The 14,160-nt window shown below is 39.3% G+C and overlaps 2 long non-coding RNA genes across 6 annotated transcripts in view; one reads left to right on the forward strand and one right to left on the reverse strand.

Annotated features, from left to right (window-relative positions):
• The window catches only part of LOC124901334 (uncharacterized), a 47,524-nt gene that overhangs the window by 33,119 nt on the left and 245 nt on the right, over positions 1-14,160 (forward strand). The window lies entirely within an intron of this gene.
• Positions 1-14,160, reverse strand: part of LOC124901333 (uncharacterized) — a 54,194-nt gene that overhangs the window by 20,213 nt on the left and 19,821 nt on the right. The gene's annotated exons all lie outside the window — the stretch shown is intronic.

The raw sequence follows: 14,160 nt of genomic DNA on the forward strand, positions 1-14,160 counted from the left end.
ACAGAAAGAAAGAATAATTATTATCTATTAGAATAAGATCTAATAGATAAGATTAAGATTTATTATTTTATTCTATTACCTATTAGAATAGAATCTAAAAAGTAAGAATAAGTATCACATACTTTACACATGTGCCTCACTTGAAGCAAAGAAACTCAATGTTGGCAAACTCAATGATGGTTTTATTCAACAGTTAAACCAGGAGCTTATCATTGCTATATTAAGTAATGCATCATTTACTATGTTGGTTCTCATCTCTGCCACATATTGGAATCACCTGGGAATCTCTAAAAACTACTGATGCCTGGCCCCCATCCCCAGCCAGCTGTCTTAATTGGTAAGGGTGCAATGTGAGCAAGGCTGGGGAGGTTTATAAGCTCTAAGATCATTCTAATGTGCAGCAAAGTTTAGAAACCACTGATCTAGTAGCTACCAACATTGTCTTTGAGTCTCATATCCAAAAGTGATTAGCAAAGTTATGATAAAAAACTTGATCTACCTGAGCCCTGAGTCTCCCACCTAAGGAGACCTTCTGAGCTTTCATTTCAGACACTGTATATCCATTTTCTATAATTTCTCTGTAACCTTTTCGAGGACTTGACTCTTATATTTTCCTACTATGCTAAAGGCCAATAATCAAGCACAATGAGAAGAAATAAATTGTTTAAGGTAACATGAGATCTATTTGTAAGAATGATCTTAAATAGTGCAAAGGACAAAGAATAGTTCAAAGTAGCATTGAAAGCTGCTTGGAAAGAAATGAAAAATTTCTATTAAAATATGTAAAGTCTATAGGAAAAGGTAGTAAAACTTGGCCAGGTGTGGTGGCTTACACCTGTAATTGCAGCACTCTAGGAGGCCAAGGCAGGAGGATCTCTTGACCCCAGGAGTTTGAGACCAGCCTGGGCAACAGAGTGAGACTCCATCTCTACCAAAACAAACAAAAAAAAATTAGCCAGATGTGGTGGTGTGGACCCATGATCCCAGCTACTCAGGAGGCTGAGGTGGAAGAATCACTTGAGCCTGGGAGGTTGAAGCTTCAGTGAGCCATGATTGTGCCACTGCACTCCAGCCTGGGCAACAGAGCAATATACTGTCTCAAAGAAAAAAGAAAAAAACCCAGCTTGGCCCACATGGTGAAACCCCGTCTCAACTAAAAATACAAAAATCAGCTGGGCATGGTGGAAAACGCCTGTAATCCCAGCTACTTGGGAGACTGAGGCAGGAGGATCGCTTGAACCCAGGAGTTGGAGGTTGCAGTGAGCCAAGATCACACCACTGCACTCCAGCCTGGGCCACACAGTGAGACCCTATCTCAAAAAAAAAAAAAAAAAAAAAAAAAAAAGGAAGAATAAACCAACACTGAGATATCTAATAGAAGACTTAAATTAGGGGAGAAATATAATGTGCTCCTGGATAGAAGGACTAGAAATATAATATGCCAGTTAACTTGATGGACTAGGAGTCAAATTCCTGTTTGATTCTCAGCTCTTCAGATGATTAACTTCTTGAATTTGGGCCAGAACTCATGGAAATACCGAAGACACAGCACACCATCAGGGCTCACAAAGGTTTTTCAGGAGCCAACACAGCTGTGGCCTCAAGAGAATCCAGACCAGTGATTTCCAAACTGTAATGTGCAAATTACCTGGGGATCATGTTAAAATGCAGATTATGATTCAGTAAGTCTAATGTTTGACCAGATATTCTGCATTTCCCACAAGCTCATGGTGATGCTGATGCTGCTGGTCTTGGACCACACTTTGAGCAGAGAGGATCTAAATTTCTTCAGCAATGAGAGTTATTAAACCCTTTTCTAGTGCTCTGCCAACATTGTGGTTCTTTCTCTGCCTCTGTGCCTTTCCATGTATTTGTAGCTTCTATCCCATCTCTAATCACTTGTATCTTAATTATTAATTCCACAAGAGAAAAGATCAAATTGATTTATCTCAAGGTAGTGGAAATATAGGCATCTTTTAAAAAATATTTTTTATTTCAATAGCTTTTGGGGTACAAGTGGTTTTTGGTTACATGGATGAATTATATAGTAGTGAATTCTGAGATTTCAGTGCACCCATTACCTGAGTAGTGTACCTTGTACCCAATATGTAGTGTTTTTTTTTTTTTTTTGAGACGGAGTCTGGCTCTGTCACCCAGGCTGGAGTGCAGTGGCGCGATCTCAGCTCACTGCAACCTCCGCCTCCCAGGTTCAAGCAATTCTCCTGCCTCAGCCTCCCGAGTAACTGGGACTACAGGCACCCACCACCATGCCTGGCTAATTTTTTGTATTTTTAGTAGAAATGGGGTTTCACCGTGTTAGCCAGGATGGTCTCGATCTCCTGACCTCGTGATCTGCCCACCTTGGCCTCCCAAAGTGCTGGGATTACAGGCGCGAGCCACTGCGCCTGGCCCCCAATATGTGGTTTTTTATCCCTCACCCCCCACCCAACCTCCTGTTTCTAAGCCTCCAAAGCCCATTATACCACTCTGTATGCCTTTGTATACTCATAGCTTAGCTCCCACTTATAAGGGAGAGTATGCAGTTTTTGATTTTCCATTCCTGAGTCACTTCACTTAGAATAATGGTCTCCAGCTCCATCCAAGTGCTGCAAAAGACGTTATTTTGTTCCTTTTATGACTGAGAAGTACTGCATGGTGTATATATATCACATTTTCTTTGTTTAATTTTTATTTTTATTTTAAGTTTTGGGGTACATGTGCAGCATGTGCAGGTTTGTTACATAGGTAAACATGTGCCACGGTGGTTTGCTGCACCTATCAACCCATCATCTAGGCATTAAGCCCAGCATGAATTAGCTGTTTTTCCTTATGCTCTCCCTCTCCCACCACACACCCCAGCAGGCCCCAGAGTGTGTTGTTACCCTCCCTGTGTCCATCTATTCTCATTGTTGAGCTCCCACCTGTAAGTAAGAACATGCGGTGTTCTGTTTTGTTACTGTGTTAGTTTGCTGAGAATAATGGCTTCCAGCTCTCTCCATGTCCCCGCAAAGGACATGATCTCATTCATTTTTTTTATGGCTGCATACTATCCCATGGTGTATATGTACCACATTTTCTTTATCTACTCTATCATCGATTGGCATTTGGGTTGATTCCATGTCTTTGCTATTGTGACTAGTGCTGCAATGAACATACACATCCATGTATCTTTGTAATAGAATGGGTTATATTCCTTTGGGTGTATACTAAGTAATGGGATTGCTGGGTCAAATGGTATTTCTGCTTCTAGCTCTTTGAGGAATTGCCACATCATCTTCCACAATGGTTGAACTAATTTACATTACCATCAACGGTATAAAAGTGTTTCTATTTCTCCACAAATATCACATTTTCTTATCCACTCATTGGTTGATGGGCACTTAGGTTGGTTCCAGATCTTTGCAATTGTGAATTATGCTGCAATAAACATACATATGCATGCGTCTCTTTAATATAATAACTTCTTTTCCTTTGGGTAGATACCTGGTAGTGGGACTGCTGGACCAAATGGTAGATCTACTTTTAGTTCTTTAAGAAATCTGTATACTGTTTTCCATAGAGGTTGTACTAATTCACATTCCCACAAGCAGTGTATAAGCATTCCCTTTTCACCACATGCACACCAACATCTATTGTTTTTTGACTTTTTAATAATGGCCATTCTGACTGGGGTAAGGAGATAGTTCACTGTGATTTTAATTTGCATTTCTCTGATGATTAGTGATGTTGAGCATTTTTTTCATGTTTCTTGGCCATTTGTATATCTTCTTTTGAGAAATGTCTATTCATGTCATTGCCCATTTTGGATGGAATTATTTCATTTTTTTCTTGCCGATTTATTTGAATCAAATTTGTTTGAGTTCCTTGTGGATTCTCAATACTAGTCCTTTGCCATACACACAGTTTGCAAATATTTTCTCCCATTCTGTGGGTTATCTCTTTACTCTGTTGACAATTTCTTTCACTGTGCAGGAGCTTTTTAGTTTAAATAGATCTCATTTGTTTATTTTTGTTTTTGTTGTATTTACTTTTGGGAATTTAGTCATAAATTCTTTGTCTTGGTCAGTGTCTAAAAGAGTTTTTCGGAAGTTATCTTTTAGAATTTTTATGGTTTCAGGTCTTAGGTTTAAGTCTTTGATCTGTCTTTAATTGATTTTTGTGTTAGGTGAGAGATAGGGATCCAGTTTCATTCTTCTACATGTGGCTAGCCAGTTTTCCCAGCACTATTAAATAGGGTGTCTTTTCCCCCATTTATGTTTTTGTATGCTTTGTCGAAGATCAGTTGGTTTTAAGTATTTGGCTTTATTTCTGGGTTCTCTATTCTGTTCTATTGGTCTATGTGCCTACTTTTATACTAGTACCATGCTATTTTGGTAACTATAGCCTTGTAGTATAATTTGAAGTCTGGTAATGTGATGTCTCTAGATTTGTTTTCTCTGTTTAGTATTGTTTTGGCTATGTGGACTCTTTTTTTGGTTCCATAGGAATTTTAGGAATTCTTTTTCTAATTCTGGGAACAATGATGTTGATATTTTGATGGGAAATGCACTGAATCTGTAGATTGCTTTGAGCAGTATGGTCATTTTCACACTATTGATTCTCCCAATCCATGAGCATAGGATGTGTTTCCATTTGTTTTTGCCATCTATGATTTCTTTCAGCAGTGTTTTGTAGTTCTCCTCGTATAGATCTTTTACTTCCTTGGTTAAGTATATTCCTAGGTATTTTATTTTATTTTGCAGCTGTTGTAAAGGGGTTGAGTTCTTGATCTGATTCTCAGCTTGGCCGTTGTTGGTGTATAGCAGTACTACCGATTTGTGTACGTTGATTTTGTAACCTGAGACTTTACCATGTATTTAGTAGCTTCTTCCTCACATTTAATTAGTCCAAATGCATAATGTATAATAAAGTCAAAACTGACATTGGCCAAGATCAAAGACCTTCAGAATCCCCTCCTCTGATCATTCTTGCTTTTTGTAGCAATATTAATATTCACTATTTTTTGAGCACCCACTATGTGTGAGGTGTGGGTTGGATGTTTTGCATACATTCTCATTTCATTTTCACAACAACCGTACAAGACAGACTTTATTAATTTCATTTTCTGGAAAGGAAAACTAATAATTTTGGTTAACTCAGTATCCAAATTGATTTGTACAGAAATCTGAGGCTCACAGAGGCAAAATATATTATCCATGGTCATACAACTGGAATTTGAACCCATGTTTGCCAAACTCTAAGTCCTGTGCTATTTCTGGTACATTTCCTAAATCTTACTGAACATATTCATTGTCCTCATCCTGACATTCTCTCTCCTTTTAGGCCATAACCCATATTCTGGCTTCCCTTATTTCAAGTATTTTATGGTAGCATCCCAGAAACCAACGACTCCACATACATTTCTTGGTTTTTACTTTGCCCATTCTCATGCCTAATTCTTACCATCTGATTTTTGTCCTCCTGCTCCAATGTCTGGAGATTAAAATAATATAAAAATGTGGAGTAAATCCTTTGGAAGCTGGAAGATTTATTTAGCACCTAAAAGGTTAACTCCAGTGCCCACACAGGTGTTGTTGATGGGTGCCAGTCAAAAGCAGCTAATACTCAAAGAATAACTCAGTCTTATGAAAACACAGCCAGACCTTTTAGGAACCAGGCCAGGAGCAGTTTCAGCTGTAGACCAAAAGGATGAAGACTGAGTCCACAGGGAACATTCCAGGAATCACATAAATACCTGAGACTTAGTACCAGGGCGTGAGCAGGGCTTGGATCTAGAAGAGCCTGGTACGGCTAGAGGTCATGCTATAAGCATCCAAATAGACAGGGTGTAGGCTGCAAGACACAGTGGGCTAGCTGAGTGTTCTGCCTCTTTCCTAAGGAGTGGCCTGTGGCTACCCGCTATGTTTACACTCAAATGTGCAGAGTCTGAAGCAAAGTATCTAAAGTTAATCTTCAGTGGCTTGGGCTGAGGACTCACTGAAGTCAGCAATCCTTGAATCAGCTCTCTTGATTTTCTATTACGTTCCCTACAGCATTTACCCTATTAGTTTCTAGTCACAGCCTCTCACCCTTTCTAAACAACCCCAGCATGACTTTACTCTGAATTTGGAGATGTTCCATGTGAGCATCAGTTTCCTTCCAGTCCACCTTAGCAAATTCTTCAGCATTTTAATTTTTTAAATTCGTCTTCTCCTTCCATCCTCATGCCTTCCATCTTGGAACTCACACTTGCTCCACCACTGCTGCTTCCTTCAATGGCATCTTCTCTTACCTGCCTTTTCACTGGTCTCCTCTCTCAAGTTCTTTCTATTACTCAGGTCTTTCTTATCCTAAAGTATTTATGTACTTTCAATTTTCTTGCCTATTTGAGGCACTCTGTTTCCTCATGCCATCTTCAGTTTCTACTTCCTCACCTCCAACTATCATTCAACCCTTTGCCACTGACTTGTGCTAAAATATCTCCTTTCCAGCTAATCAGGGACATCTAATTGCCAAGACCCCTGTAGAGCTGTGGATCCCCTTGACCGCTTCCTTCCACTGGCAACTCTCGCCTCTATGGTGCTGAAACCCCTGGTTCCTCTCCTGTTCCTTCTTTGCTTTGTTTTACTGTCTCCTCTTCCCACAGCCCATATATAGGCAAGTCCTAACATTTGCTTTATCCCTAATGATGGTAAAAGCTTCCACTACTTAAGCCATATACTCTACACATCAATCCAGTTTCAGTGTCCATCATTGACCTACTGAATCCAGCTCTGCCCTTTGAGTTGAGTTTATTTTAGTCTGGTTGTCCTGATTGGGTCTCAAGGTGCTCATCGTTTTCTGTATGCCCTCCCTCCTAACCTCAGAGAATAATAGTTATTATAATTATAGTTACTAATATGTATATGTTATAGATGTGCTTCTATGTGCTATAGGTTATCTATTGCAATGCCAATGGCATCTCAATGAGGTAGGTGTTTTTATCCTCATTTTATAAATGAGAACACTGAGATCGTGATATAACTGGCCCAAGTTCATACAGTGGAGCTGGGATTCAAAGCCAGATCTAACTGCATCAACCTATATTAACTTTTATGCTTTGAGGACAGTTTAAGATAGTAGTTAAACACATGGCAGCTGATGCTAAATTTTCTAGGTTCCAGTGTTGGCTTATGTTGAGATACCCTTGCAAGTTTTATTTGATCCTTAAAGTCTTTGACAAAACAAGAGAAGCTTCAGGCAACTAAACTTGTATTGACTGCTAGGCTGAGAGAAAGTCAGAACTGCTCCCCTGTGGACTGTCTTTTGGCATTTGAAAGATCCTTCTCCTCCTCCTCTTCCTCTTCCTCCATCTTTTAGCATCTGCACTGGTAGCACAGTAGTTATCTGTCAAATATTTGTTGAATGCTGATTATGTCCCAGTCACTGTGCTAGACACACAATGACATCAACAGTGAACTCTCAGATATAAATAAAACTGCTTTCTGAGAATGGGACAGTGTGAGCCTGAGCCAAATTGCAAAATGACAAAGATAGGCTCTATACCATTTCCCTTCTCCTCTCATTATCCTTTTGGCATGGACCCCACCCCTCTTCCAAAAGCCTAGGCCTTTGTTGCCACTCCCTAGATTTCTGAAGCAAACAGCATATTAGCTGGAAAGAGGCATTGGATCAGGGCTCAGGAGACCTTTCCTGATACTGCCACTGTATTTATTTGGTCAAATTGCTCTATCACAAAGAGTTTCAGTGTTCTCCGCTACAAATGTGAAGTTGTGTTGAGGCTGCCTGGAAGACAGCACTAACCATCACTGAAGAAGTATCTTAGGCCCTTGGATAAACATTTTAGAGGGAATCTCTAAAATAAGCTAGTTTTAATGGTAGTCAAATTGCTATTAAATTTAGGTTTCCAAAATATTTTACTATTGTTAAACTAAGGTTTCCAAAAATATTTTACTCTTCAAAGCAAATTAACAGAATGTGAGTATTACGGCATAATGGCACAAATTTTTATTTTTTCTCAATTTGTTTCTGGCATTTTAAAGGCATCCACTGTGGGATAATTGGCATTGTTTAGTTTATTATACAGAATAAAGGCATTCTCTTCTCCATGTCCCCTTTAGTTGATTAAACTCATTGGGAATCACTTTGGATAACCCTTTAGAAAAATAATTTAGATTAAAAACTTTTATTTCTATTATACATTTATGTAAGTAAGGCAGAGACATTGTGAGACTTTCAAAGGAAAGAATGAAACAATAAAATTTGTATGCTACAAATTGAACACAATCCATGTCAATACTTTCTCAATTTGAGCAGTGAATCTCAACTGGGACAGTTTTGCTCCCCCCTCCCCCGCCCACTCCAGCCCAGAGGACATATGGTAATATCTGGAGATATTTTTGATTGTCACAACTTGGCAACTGGAGGACAGGTGTTACTGGCATTTAGCGGGTAGAGGCAGGAGCGCTGCCAAGCATCCTGCAATGCACGGGACACCTCCACTCCCCAAGAGTCATCCAGTCCAAAATGCTTATAGTGCCAAGGTTGAAAACCCTTGACTTAGAGACACAGCCAGGGTGGTTCAAACCTGTCTTCTAGTTGCTAAACTGGAACACTTCATGGGTATATGAACTGAATTCTGCTAAAAACAAACAAAAATAAAAATCAAAATGGAGTTTCTCTAAATTTCATAGGGATAGAGTTGGTGGCATTCCACTGATGGCAATGTACTCACCACTTCTGTCTTTATTTTGGCATGCAGAGCTTAATTATCTGCAACAGCACCCATGGTGAGAAAAGGAAGTTGTCATGATGGTACAAGAAGAAATAACCACCCCCAAAGTCCTGGAAAAGTTTCAATAAAAGTGGCAGTCAGGAGAAATGGAAGGAGGTAACTGTCACCCTCTTTCTAAAACAACTGAGCCCTCCTGGAGGCAACTGCCTTCAGCCACGCTGTGTCAAAAGGACCTTGTCAAGTAAAGGCTGTAATTGCCAACAATTTCCCTGGGAAAAAGGGAAAGAAAAAAACTGAAAAGTTTCTGTCACTCTGCGAATTGCTTTAACACAAAGCACAAAGGGTGGGTGGATGTGACAGCTTTTAAGCAGACAGTTGTTCTAGGTGAGCCAGCAATAGAGTGACCCTGCAGATGTTTAATGAGCCCAGTGGAATGAGTTCACTTTGCTCCCCTCCACTAGCTGTGAACTGTTCTCACCAAGAAGTACTGAGTCAGGGTACAAATATTTTTGAGTAAGATGTGCAATTTCTCTTGGTTGCCTATAAATACATTGTAAAATGTATAGCATTGCAGAATTATAGTCTGTTAGAAACATAAAACGATAAAGAAATTAATGTTAAAAGATAAAGAAATTAAGGATAGTATTTATTCCTACATGAGACAGAAGAGACAAGAGCCTAATACATGGAGAGTGTATGAAACATCAGGGACCTTAGGGTCAGGAAACGATAGGTACCTTCTCTTTCTTCCTTCACACCAGAAAATACCCCAAATTGTTGACAATGTTGCCTCAATGCTTTTCAAGTAGGTGGTAAAGGATTATAGGTAAGAAGCTAAGAATGGGGGAAATATGTCTAGTGGGACAGAGTTTTGGGGAAGGGAGCACATCTAGGGAAGAGATCAGACTCTGGAATGGCTTCCAGATGCTGATTTCCAAGGTTCCAAGGTGAGTGCCCAGAGACAGGGGTACATAAATTCCAGCCACTAACCCAATGCAGTCTCTTTGACTACATTGTTCATATATTTATCAAACTTCTGTCTGTATATATGCACAGAAAGATGTCCATAATGATGTTTGCTAATTGCTAATGCTGGCTTTTTCTGTATGGTAGGAATTGGGATGCTTTATTACTTTTTTCTTAATTTTTTTAATTGATTGACATTTTAAATAGGCACATATTTAAAAAAAGTAATTACAATGCAAAAGCAAAACTCAACCAACCAACAGAACCAACCAACCAATCAATCAGGGCTGAGACTAAAGTGAGGCAAGTCAGGTTCCAAGGGCACAAAATTTAAGGAGGCACTCCCTCTAAGGGTCATCCAAGTACAACCTAGGCTCCTCAGTTGCCTCCCTATAGTCCCAGACAGCCCTTTCAACAATACAGGGGGACTACAGATCAATGTGGATGAAGAACTACATGTTTGGAATCCTGCGTAGATAAGTAAAGCATACTCTTTCTTCATTATAAATGATTATTTTGCTTAACTGTCTGCAAAAGAAATCATAGCCTTTACATTTCAGAAGTTAATTGATGAGATACTCTTAAACTAACCAACACCAAATTTTCCCGTTCTTTTCCTCTCCCTCAATTCAACACATGGTTGAGTAAGCTATAGCTTCTGGCCAGGGCCAGGGAAGGGCGCTAGAGAGGGGCATGCTTTCTCCAGCATCTTGCTCTTCCCTCAACTAGGGCTCTCCTGATCACATTAGCTAAAGCAGCACACCATCTTCCTCTGTTTTTCCAGCCCATTTTTCTGCTTTAACATCTTCCTGGTGGTTATCATATTCCAAACATATTCACACTTTACATATGTAGCTTTATTTTGTATATCGTGTTTGATTGCTTGTCTTGCCTTGTTAGAACATAAGCTCTGCAATGCTACCCTCATGGAAGCATGATAGCACATAGTGGATTTTAGTTAATATTTGCTGAATGGAAGAATGAATGAGTTCATTGGATTTTCAATGAATGATTGTGAATCTGATACTGTTCTTGGCAACCTGAATATGAATAAAATATACAGTCTTTGCTCTCTACAGAAAGTCCACATGCTAGACTCTTTCCCTGCCTCCGCTCCCAGGCCTGTTCATTTGCCTCAGACAATCTTATCTAACAAACACTGAACTTTTGTTTTTACCCCTTTTTCCTTTTCTTATATTCTCTGTCTCCTTTTTTTTTCCCTCAACTTTTGCCTAATTATAATAGGGGAATATTTGTTCCTCCCCTAAAAAATATCACTGAGTGATGAACATTAAAAAATAGTGTTAGTAATTACACATTTATCAAGAGAATCAATTTTGGAGAGAAAACAGTAACAATAGTATTATTGACTGTGAATGTCTATTAAGTGCTCGCTATATACCTGACTCCGCCAAGCAATTATGTGCATTGCCTAACATAATCAGTACAGATAAGAAAAGGATGGTGCAAGAAGTAACTTGCCCAGGCCACAGAGCTGGTAACTGGTCTGAACTCATGTCAATCTGATTCCAGATCTTGACTTCTCCCAGGGGTAACAGGGAAGCTGAATTGCTAATTTCCAGTATAATTCTCTCTGTGGGGTTTCTCCTCCATCCCCTCACACATTACGAGCAGAATGAGATGTTGCTTTCTTCACACTCCTATAGCACTCTGCTCATACACTACTTCAGCTCTTATCACATAAAATGTTTGGTATGCATCTGAAAAGTTCAGCTGGGTACATTTTCACTCATTACCAGTGTTATAAACTATTTGATTCCCTTTTCATTGCAATCAGGGTTGTAATAGAAGTAGGAGCTTCAGGTTTAGACAGACCAGAGTTCAAAAGCTGGCATCTGCTACTTACTAGCTGTGTCATGATGGGGAAATTATTTAACCCTTCTGAATCTTAGCATACTCATGTGTAGCATGAAGATAATGATACTCGTGTAGTGGTGTAATAGGAATAAGCTAAGATATGTCTGTAAAGGGCCTGGCATAGTGTCTCAGACAACATAGGTGCTCAGTGAGTACTTTTCATCTCTCTCCTGCCCACCTTGACTCTGATTCTCCCACTACATCTTACACAGCATTTCAGCTATATTACATGTTACCTACTATGGTTTGCATTAGTTTTCTATTACTGCTCAACAAATTACCCAAACTTAGCAGCTTAAAACACAAACACTTATTATCTCAAATTTTCTCTGGGCCAGAGATCTGGGACCATCTTAGCTGGGTAGTTTTAGGTTGATCTCTTATGAGGTTACAGTCAAAATGTCAGCCGGAGCTACAGTCATCTCAAGGCTCAACTGGGGGGAAAATTTGCTTCCAAGTTCACTGACATTGCTGCTGAGATGCTTTAGGAGATCTGTGTCTTAGTCCATTTTTGCTATAAAGGAATAACTGAAGCTGGGTAATTTATAAATAAAAGTTTTTTGTTTGTTTGTTTGTTTTTGGCTCATGGCTCTGCATCTGTTGAGGGCCTCAAGCTGCTTTCACTCATGGAGGAAGGGGAAGAGGAGCCAATGTGTGCAAATCACACGGGGAGACAGAAAGTGAGACAGAGGAGGTGCCAGGCTCTTTTCAACAATCAGTTCTGTGGGAACTAACAGTGAGAATTCTCTCACTCCTGTGAGAATGGCACAAAGCCATTCATAAGGGATTTGCTCCTACAATCCAAACACCTTCTGCCAAGCCCCATCTCCTAAGGGATTTGCTCCTACAATCCAAACACCTTCTGCCAAGCCCCATCTCCAACACTGGGGATCAAATTTCAACATGAGACTTGGTGGGGACAAGCAAACCATACCCAGATTATAACAATCTGCTCTAAGCTTACTCCTGTGGGCTTCTCTATAGGGCTATCTCAGGACATGGCAGCTGGCTTTCCCCAGAGCAAGCAACCCAAGAGAGAGTGAGAGACAGCACCCAAGATGGAAACCATAGCCTTTTTATAATTTGATCTTGAGAGTGACAGCCCATGACTCTTACTGTATTTTATTCATTAGAAGTGAGTCAATAAGTCTGGCCAACACTCAAGGGGAGGGAATACTACAAGAGCACAAATACCAAGAGGTGGAGATCACTGGGACCATTTTAGAGTCTGCCTATACCACATGGTTTAAATAGTCTTACAGAGCTAACCTGAGGATTATGAGCCAGCCAACCTCATTTTATAACCTCTTTTTTTTTTGAGACAGAGTCTCACTCTGTTGCCCAGCCTGGAGTGCAGTGGCATGATCTCGGCTCACTGCAGCCTCCGCCTCCTGGGTTTAAGCGATTCTTGTGCCTGAGCCTCCCCAGTAGTTAGGATTACAGGCACATGCCACCATATCCAGCTAATTTTTGTACTTTTAGTAGAGACGGGTTTTCACCATGTTGGCCAGGCTGCTCTTGAACTCCTGACCTCAGGTGATCCACCCCGGCCTTCCAAAGAGCCGGGGTTACAGGCGTGAGCCACCATGCCTGGCCATCATCTCATTACCTTTTATAGAAAACTTAGTCTTGCCTTTATAAAAGGGACTGACTTACTCACCTTGAGACCATAAATATTACTAAACTGGGTAACATGCTATACCAGTAATAGAGTTCAACACAATCTAAAAAATAATGATAATGGTGATAATGATTTCTTTTGCATAGACTTAGAAGTTATCATACTATCTTTCCATTCCTATTCTATGTAAAACTACATTTTTTCTTTGATTCATTTTTTTAAAAACTATTTCTTCTAAGGCTGTCCCCTTGGTACATTTTACACTTTCTTTTCTTTGGTCTGTAGACACACACACACCCAGCTTCCTTCCTCAGGGAGCACCAAAGGTCAGGTAGAAAGTCATGGAGAAATAAAAATACCACTTTCAGCCCTTACTGAAAGGGCAACTTGTTTGTTATTCCCAACTAAGCCACAGTGTGCTCCAATTATCTCCCCAGAGCAAAATGTCCTGCCTATGACTTATCTTCTCTCTTTTTTCCCCTTTCTCTTGCTGGCTGCCTTTAGTTATGGCACTGCCTGGTTGCATTAGCTTCTAGTTGCAACTAGATGCCTAGCTGCATCCCCTAAAGGGGATGAAATTGATCAAGTTTGATATTTATATCCATTCAGGTTGATAATAAAGATTATATAACTACTAAAGTATGTAAGATATAAGTAGCAAAACATATTTAAATATACATTAAATTTTTATTTTACAATTATTTTTTAATTTTTTAAATTAAATTAAATTTTTATTTTACAATTATTTTTTAGTTTTTTAAATTAAATTAAATTGTAAAAATAATTTAATATTTTACAATTATTAAATATACTGTGTATATATATATATCTCCAAGCAGGTTATATACATATATATATATATATATTAGATCCAACAATAGAGGTATGATAGTTCATGTTCTTCTATTTCTATGAATTACTGAGAATCCATTTTATTAGAGAAATAGAGTATCTATAACTTTCCATCCTCAACAAATTCTGC

Source organism: Homo sapiens, chromosome 6 (assembly GCF_000001405.40).
Source record: "Homo sapiens chromosome 6, GRCh38.p14 Primary Assembly".
Taxonomy (NCBI): Eukaryota; Metazoa; Chordata; class Mammalia; order Primates; family Hominidae; genus Homo; species Homo sapiens.